Genomic DNA, 9,474 nt, shown 5'->3' with positions numbered 1-9,474 from the left:
CTGTTATTGAATAGAATAAAATTTGGCACAGTTAAGGTTCTTGTTCTGGCCACAAGTTAGTGCTATTGGTATACATAGTTTTTAGGGATTGACATTGCTTATCTATGCAATGATATTTATATGATATCATTGATGGTGATATTGATATTAGGTTTTCCTGGTGCTAAAGTGGACATGTTGAGGAGTATTTTTCTCCCTACCTTTTATCTGAAAGCATTTTGGTTTTCAGACTTTAAAACAAATTTGCTACCTAGCTAACTTTTAGTAGTCAAAGAAACCACAGAATCATAAAACAGGAAAAAAGTTGAAAATATCTACTGCATCTCTTTGCCTTCAAACAATAGTGTATCCAATAGTCTTAGAAGGGTTGCCATTCATTCATTTATTCAAAAACTATGTGGTGAGCACCTATGTTGTTCTTAACTGTACAAATGATGATATTAGCCAATGGTGATGGAGAGAGAGGAGTTTGAATGAAATACTTTCTTCCTTTCTTGCTTGCTTCCTTCCACATATATGTAATTAATGTTTACTATATGTAAAGTACTATATTAACAGCACAACATGTCAAGGAATCTGGCTTAAATTGGTTTGCAGTCTGTAGTCTTCAAATGCAACACTTTTCTCTGTTAGATTCCTAAGATTATTGCCACTATAATATACTAATCATAAAGTGAGACAGAATGGAGGATATATAAACAATCATTATTAAGGGAAAAAATAAGAGTTATGTCTATTATCACAACAATATTTATGAATATTTGATATTTGAACCTCATGATGGTTTTTTAAAATGTTCAGGTAATTTAATTATGAGCATGTATTTTTTCATTTCAAAATTGCCACAAGAGAAGAGACTTAAGCCAATTCCAAGATTCAATCTAGAGATATTTTTTGAAAAAAAAAAAAAAAGAAGAAGAAGAAAAGGAAGACTACTTGGCTCAAAGACCATTCAACTTTTTTTTTTTTTTTTTTTTTGAGACAGAGTCTCGCACTGTCGCCCAGGCTGGAGTGCAGTGGCGCAATCTCGGCTCACTGCAAGCTCCGCCTCCCGGGTTCACACCATTCTCCTGCCTCAGCCTCCTGAGCAGCTGGGACTACAGGCGTCTGGCACCGCACCCGGCTAATTTTTTGTATTTTTAGTAGAGACGAGGTTTCACCGTGTTAGCCAGGATGGTCTCGATCTCCTAACCTTGTGATCCACCCGCCTCGGCCTCCCAAAGTGCTGGGATTACAGGCGTGAGCCACCGCACCCGGCCAAAGACCATTAAAGTTTTGACTGACAACTGAGAGAGTGAGAAGCTAGTTTCTCAGAATATTTAATTCCATTTGAATTTATAATAATATAATTATAATACATTTTATCAGAAATGCTAATTTCTTCCTAAAAGATTGTGAATTTCATCACATAAAAGTTATGTCCCAGGTCAAGTTTATGATGTCTTTTCTTGCATTTTTTTTTTTTTTTTTTTTTGGAAACAGGGTCTCCCTCTGTCTTCCAGGCTGGAATCCAGCTGGGTGATCACTGTTCACTGCAGCCTCAGCCTCCTGGGCTCAGTGATCCTCCCACCTCAGTCTTCCGAGTAGCTAGCTGCAGGCCTGTGCCAAGACAACCAGCTAATTATTTTTTATAGACACAGGGTCTCACTATGTTGCCTAGGCTTGTCTTCAACTCCTGGCTTCAAGCATTCCTCCTACCTCAGCCTCCCAAATAGCTGGCACTGGGGGTGCACGCCACCATGCCTGGAAAATTCTTTTATTATTTGTACAGACAGAGGTTTCACTATGTTACGTAGGCTTGTCTCCAATTCCTGAGCTCAAGCGATCCTCCTGCCTCCCAAAGTGCTGGGAATACACGCGTGAGCCACAGCATTGGCCTATAGCCTGATTATTAAAGGTGTAAATTGCTATGTTTAGATACTAGAATTAACTACTTTTTTTTTTTTTTCTTCCGGAGACAGGGTCTTGCTTTCTTGCTCAGGCTGGAGTGCAGAAGCTATTCACAGGCATGCACCGCGTACCTGTCTAGAACTCCTGGGCTCAAGCAATCCTCCCACCTCTGCCTCCCAAATAGCTGAAACTACAGGTGTGTGCAAGCACACTGGCTTTATAGTCTTGTTTAAAGCCAAGGAAAAATATCTGATGACTTCTTAAGATGTTTTCTTGCGTGTTAGAAATAGCTTTTGTTCTGAAAGATTTCTGAAAGACAAAAGACTTAGATGATTTCATTTAGCATTGTGCATTAGGCTCAGCTTCTGAACCACTCCAGATTGGCTTGGCTGTACCTCCTTTAGCAGCCTGGTCGCCATCATAGCAACAGAGGCCATTTCTGGGGTCTTGAAGCACACTCATTGTTGCTGCCACCTCCCCCCATCAGAGGACAAGAAGCCCCAACACATGAAGCTGACTGACCAGGAGAAACCCTTGCGCTTGCCCACCAGCCTAAATAGACCAAGAGCCAGAGAGGCTCAGGCTTCTCTAGCAACTGCTTGCGAGGGCCAGGTGATACAATCCAGAACTGCAGGAAGTTCCATGGAGCACGCTTCCACCACTGGGAAGCCAGAGATGTTGTGGAGCTGAGATCAGCTCAGAAACATGCTCCATTTGGGGAGTGTCACTTGAGCCTGGGAGTTTGAGGTTGCAGTGAGCTATGATTGCATCATCCACTCCATCCTGGGCAAAAGAGTGAGACCCTGTCTCAAAAAAAAAAAAAAAAAAAAAAAAAAAAAAAAAAAAAAAGAGAGAGAGAGAGATGAAAGATGAAAGAAAGAAAAAAAGAAAGGGAAAAAAATCTTCCATTTATAAGGTTGATGCAAAAGTAATTACAGTTTTGCCATTACTTTCAATGGCAAAAACCACAATTACTCTTGCACCAACCCAATAATCCTAATATTTGCTCTCTCCTTCTCCTCACTTCTACTTCCCTAGGATTGTACAAACTGCCCCTACAACCCTACCCCTTTTCCTTCAGGCTCTGTTTTCAGGGAATTTGTGTTAAGACAAATGGTAGCCACTTTTTAAATTGGCAGTGAACATTTTAGGTTACTGATCATTTCAGGCTAGCTTCTCCACCTACCACATTTTTGGAGTTCTTTTTCCTTTCTCAAGTGGTGTGAATTCAAATTACTATGTTTAGTTAAGAGTTGCCATTTTTTTCCAGTCTTTGCATTCTATCTTTATTTAGCCAAATATAACATTTCTAGAATATGTTGGTTATCACAGCATTCAACAGATAATATGAGAAATAATGTAAAATCTATGTTATAAACATTGAAAATAATTCATATATGTCCACACAATGGAGTAATATGCAGCTGTTAAAAGAAAGGAGATCTATATATAATGACATGGAGTGATGACCAAAATATATTGTTAAGTTAAAAAAGCAAAATGCAGAACAATATTTGGTGGCAAAGAAATGAAGGGAAATAAAGTATAGTCAGGGCCAGGCATGGTGGCTCACACCTATAATCTCGACATTCTGGGAGGCCAAGGTGGGAGGATTGCTTGAGCCCAGGAGTTGGAGACCAGCCTGGGTAACATGGTGAGACCCCATCCCAAAAAATAAAAATAACAAATAAAAAAAGTGTAGTAGTAATCTTACCAATAGTAGCAATATTATTGCTATTATTTTAAATCTGTTGTAGAGGAAAAAAGATTTCTCACCCATCTCTAGGTTCATGAATGACATCCATATACCAATAGACAGATTAACAAGAGAACAGCACACAAATTTATTTAATGCAAGTTTACACAACACAGGAGCCTTCAGAAATGAAGACCCAAACAAACAGGGAAATCTGTATTTTTATGCTAAGCTTGATGAAGAAAAGTAGATAATTGTGAAGAAACATGATTGGAGGACAAAAGGGTCTGATCTAATGGTAAGAAACTGGGGAGAACTTAGCAAGACCTGTTTGTTCAGATTATTCTTGGTGTCTCTGTGTCTTCAAGGATAATGATATTCCTTTTTACGGGGTATAGGAAATTTATCTCTGGAGTTGAGGTCTTATGACCTACTGTAGAGGAAAGTCAGCTAGATTTTATGACCTGCTTTAATGGAGAAGGGATGAGAGGAAGATGGGAAGATGAGAATGACTTTCCTGCTTCTGCTATTTTCTCAAATACCAAGGTGCCATACTTGGGGGTAGCATATTCTCAACCCCATCATTATTATAGGCATATCTTAGGTTAAAACTAGTGAGCAATTATGCTAATGCCATTGGAAACCAAACTTTTCAGCGTGAGAGAAAATAGACATAAATATCAAATCAAAGAAATCAAGTAAAAATTATGTGATCTTAAATTTGACTTGGAAATAAAAACTTACGGTTTTTATTTGTTTAAAAAAAGCTCTGTCAACCAAAAAGACCTAGAAGCAATGACAACTCAATAGCTATGAGCAGCCCTACTGCTCCAATTTTGGTCTCTTAACACCATTTTCCACTAAAAAGAAAGAGCTAAACATCCATGGAGAAATGGTGGATTCCAGATTCCAGGTCTGGAGTATGAACTCAACAAATGAGCCTGGGATATCTTTCTTGCCAGAAAACAAGGAAGTTATCAAGAAAGATGTCCTAGGCTCATCTTAAGCCAGTTGGAGTCCTGTCAAAAGGATATGAAAGCCAACCTGAAAGGGACTCTCATTGGTTTAAGATTGGGCAATCTGAGTAGCAAAAATAATAATGACTGCAATGGATTGAAACACAGGGAATGCGTAAAATCTATAACTTTACAGTAATTCTAAACAAAAGTGGTCACTTGAAGGTTTCTAGTTTACAAACTTATTACTCTGAATATTAATAAAGGAGAAAAGTCAAGTATTTCTGTTTTCTATATAAATTATTTTTTCAAGATTATAAAATACTTAATGAGGGAAAATTTTTTCCTTATGGGAGAATTCCAGCTAATAAATGCAGAAGAAGGGATAGAAATAGAAATATCACTATCATGGAATCTCTAATGCAATGATCTAAGAAAACAATCATTAATGGATGCTAAAATCATTAGGTGGAGGATTGATGAGGAACTTTGCAATGAAGGGGTCAGGCTGACACTATCTGAGCCCACTGATCAGTCTTAGCTTCACTAAATTTGGGACATCCAGATACTATGTGCCTCCTGTTATGATGGAACGGGACATATAGCACCACCTGTGATGTATTTTTGACTGAAGAAAACAATTAAACCAGAATCTAATAAAGTTTCTAGCTCTAAAACCAAATTACAAGAAACATGGAGGACGCAGAAGTTAAATAACACCACAAGGAATCAAATAGGCAAATCAGGAAGGACAAAAATCTCTAACAGATTTCTCTAACAAATCAATGGCATTAAATAAGAAGAAAATGAAGAGAATTTAAAAGACTTAAGGGCCAGGCCCAGTGGCTTACGCCTGTAATCCCAACACTTTGAGAGGTCGAAGTGGGACAATTGCTTGATCTAGGAGTTCAAGACCAGCCTGGGTAACATAGTGAGACCGCATCTCTACAAAAACTGTAAATTAGCCAGATGTGGTGGCATGCACCTGTGGTCCTAGCAACTGGGAAGGCTGAGGTAGGACAATTGCTTGAGTTCAGGAGGTCAAGGCTGCATAGAGCCATGGTTGTGCCACAGCACTTCAGACTGGGTGACAGAGCAAGATCCTGTTTCAAAAAAAAAAAAAGACAAAAGATAAAAAATGCAATATGTAGATATTGTTTGGATCCTGATTTGAACAAATTAACTGTAAAATGACATTCCTGAAAGCAGTATTGAAATTCAAATATGGTATTAGATGATTTTAAGAATTTATTTTTAATTTTACATGATGATTATGTTTTAAAAACAATCCTGACATTAGAGATGTACACTAAAGTATTTATAGGTAGAATAGCATAATTTCCAGGCTTCCTTTAAAATATTACAGACATATAATGCTGGGGGTAGAAAATACAAAAGTGGTAAAAATATTGATCATCGTTTAAACTGAGTGATAACTATATGGAGGTTCATTTCTGTGTATTTAAGACTTCTGAATAAAAATGTAGAAAAATAACAGTATTAAAAAAACACCTTTATACAAAATCTATACATTTCAATAATGTACTTCTTTTTTTATATTCATGGCTATTTTCATCAAGGGTAGTGGAGGCTTTCAATAAAAATACAGCAATCATCATCATCATCATAGCAACAGCTACCATGTCACTGCTTGCTCTGTGCCAGGCTCCATGCAGGCAGAGATTAATCCTTACAATGCCATGACAGTGAGGTAGGTACCATTATTAACCACACTTAATCATTGAGGGAACTGAGTTCAGGGAGTTTAAGTAACTTTCCCCCAAGGTTATTAAACTAGCAAATAGGCCAGGCATGGTGGCTCGTGCCTGTAGTCCCAGCACTTTGGGATGCCAAGGCGAGTGGATCACCTGAGGTCAGGAGTTCGAGACCAGCCTGGCCAACATGGTGAAACCCCATCTCTACTAAAAATACAAAAATTAGCCAGGTGTGGTGGCACGTGGCTGAAATCCCAGCTACTTGGGAGGCTGAGGCACAAGAATCGCTTGAACCCAGGAGGCGGAGGTTGCAGTGAGCCAAGATCTCGCCACTGCACTCCAGCCTGGGCAATACAGCAAGACCCTGTCTCAAAATAAATAAATAATAAAATAAACTAGCAAATAGTAGAAAATATTTATAAAACTCCCCAAAGACTATATACCAAATTTCACAAATTTTATTTAATGAGGAGACATTAATAATTTGTATTTGTAAAAGAGCATGAACTCTCTCTCAGTGTGCTCACATTTCTTACTAATTATAAGGCTGAAGTTTAAATGAGTTGTTATATTTCAAATAAACCAGTAATAGATAAACTAAACCAGGTATAAGTGATGCTAGTTCATTAATCAGGAGGCCTGTAACATTATCCTTTGTAAAAAGATGGTATGTCTTTTGGTAAAAAATAAAAGCAGCAGAGTACAATTCTTTTTTTTTTTTTTTTTTTTGAGACGGAGTTTCGCTCTTGTTGCCCAGGCTGGAGTGCAGTGGTGCAATCTTGGCTCACTGCAACCTCCACCTCCCGGGTTCAAGTGATTCTCCTGCTTCAGCCTCCCAAGCAGCTAGAATTACAGGCACGTGCCAACAGACCTGGCTAATTTTGTATTTTTAGTAAAGATGGAGTTTCACCATGTTGGCCAGGCTGGTCTCGAATTCCTGACCTCAGGTGATCCACCTGCCTCAGCCTCCCAAAGTACTGGGATTACAGGTGTGAGCCACCACGCCCAGCCAATTCTTAAGTCACACTTCTTCCTGGAGTACCCTAACTTGAAACTGACATGCTGAGAGTGCTGTCTGCTGACAGTCAACAGAACTGCAGGCACATGGTATCTAGGTCTCCTTTGTAGCCTTACACACATACCTATCTGTTCTTTCTTTATATCATACTATTATTTCATAATAGTATGCTATTTGTTTACTTGTACTTGCTTTTCACAATGAAGTTGATGTTGCAAATTCCAGTGTTATCTTCTGTTTCCATTGTTTTTAATAAAGAGTAAGGTTCGAAACTGGTGAGTTATTCAGTTTTTACTGACTTTAAAAGACCATTCTTGGGGCCTGCGAATAATATGCTTAGGTTTCTAGCCTTAAATTCCATGGTCCTTGCCTTGATACTAGATTCCTGCCTCTCATTCAGGCTTTCTCCACATCCTGGACTTCACTCCTGAAACAAGATTACTGGTTGTGGATCAAAATTCTTTTAACTACAAATGGAATGCTCAAGAATGCTGAGTGATTCCATATGTGTAGGTCCACATTCTAAATCTACTGGAAAGCATTTGACGTGAAAAAAAAAAAAAGACATTGCACAGGCAGGTAAGGAAATCTCATTGCAAGGTGTTCTTGTGACAGAATGGCTTAGCTTGTGAAACAATGCCATTCCAGTAGTCCTCCCCAATCCATGGTTCTGCTTTCCATGGTTTCAGTTACCCGTGGTCAACCACAGTTTGAAAATATTTAATGAAAAATTCCAGAAATAAACACCGCATAAGTTTTAAATTGCACGCCATCCTGAGTAGTGTGATAAAAATCTCACACTAACCTGCCCAGGATGTGAATCATCCCTTTGTCCAGCTTATTCACCCTGTATATTCTTCCCTCTTATTCGTTACTTTGTAGCCCTCTAGGTTATCAGATCAACTGTATCTCAGCGCTTGTGTTCAATAACCCTTATTTTACCTAATGGCCTCAAAGCGCAAGACTAGTGATGCTGATATATTGTTACAATTGTTCTATTTTATTATTAGTTTTTGTTATTAATCTCATATTGTCCCCAATATAAATTAAACTTTATCATAGGCATGTATGTATAGGAAAAAACGCAGTGTATATAGATGTTCGGTACTAGCTTTGATTTCAGGCATCCACTGTAGGTCTTGGAACACATATCCCTCGCCGCTCACAGATAAAGGGGGACTGCTGTGTACTGAACACTGTACCTAAAAAAGGACTCGTCATCTCAAACTGTAGGAATACTTGGGATAGCTGTAGAAGCAGGGAAAGTGGAAGACTTCTTTCTTCCAGTCTAAACAAAAAAGAAAATTATGCTTCTACAGACTGGATACTTTCTGTTTTTCTTTGCATTTATACGGTTGATTGGTTTCTTGAGTCTGAATGGACTATGGGAAAATTCCAGAAAGGACTTGAACTGATGATGTGATTCCCCTGAAATGGAGAACCACAACTTTATATTTAATTTTCCACTCTCAGTATAACAGCATGAATTTTTAAAAGAATGACTCAACGTTCTTTTTATAAAGAACAGGTTGCAAATATAGCACAATCAGGTCCCAGAGTGAGGCAACTTGTCATGAATTTAGTCCAAGTCTTCTGGCTCTAGGAAGTGAAAATAAGAAGGCAAACACATGGTTTACTTACATTTACTCATAACCATTCTGTGGCAAAATTATTAAATAATTTGCCCAAATAAGCAAGATGTGGTAGAACTAGGATTTGAACCAAGGTGGATCAGCTGCAGAGGCCATACTTTTAGCCTACTTCACCATTTTCCTTCTCCATACAATTTAAGAATGTGGAGATGATGAGTCATACCAGAGTTTTTGTGCCCGCGCTTGCTTCTGCCTTCCTTCAGTAGGCATTATCACCGAATATGGCTACCATTTTGTATCTGTTCTAAACAAGCACTTTGCATACATTATCTTAGTTAATTCTGTGATGTAGATATTTATTCCCCCAATTTTGAATAAGAAAACTGCAAATTGTTCAAAGTTTTTTAGAGCATAGATATCAGAACTAGAATTTAAACTCACTGGTTCTGGGATCAGTGGCTCACGCCTATAATTCCAGCACTTTGGGTGGACGAGGTGGGTGGATCACCTGAGGTCAGGAGTTTGAGACCAGCCTGGCCAACATGGTGAAACCCCGTCTCTACTAAAAATACAAAAATTAGCTGGGTGTGGTGGTGTGCACCTGTAA

At 38.5% G+C, this 9,474-nt stretch overlaps 1 annotated feature.

Moving 5' to 3' along the window:
- Window positions 2,516–2,716: a silencer, noted in NCBI's record as "peak4013 fragment used in MPRA reporter construct". NCBI's record gives its function as "represses an SCP1 promoter by STARR-seq MPRAs in K562 erythroleukemia cells {active_cell/tissue: K562}" and the evidence as "EXISTENCE:reporter gene assay evidence [ECO:0000049][PMID:32103011]".

This window comes from Homo sapiens, chromosome 2 (assembly GCF_000001405.40).
Source record: "Homo sapiens chromosome 2, GRCh38.p14 Primary Assembly".
NCBI lineage: Eukaryota > Metazoa > Chordata > Mammalia > Primates > Hominidae > Homo > Homo sapiens.
The sequence above is the reverse complement of the archived record's forward strand: the minus strand, read 5'-3'. Positions and strand labels throughout refer to the sequence as shown.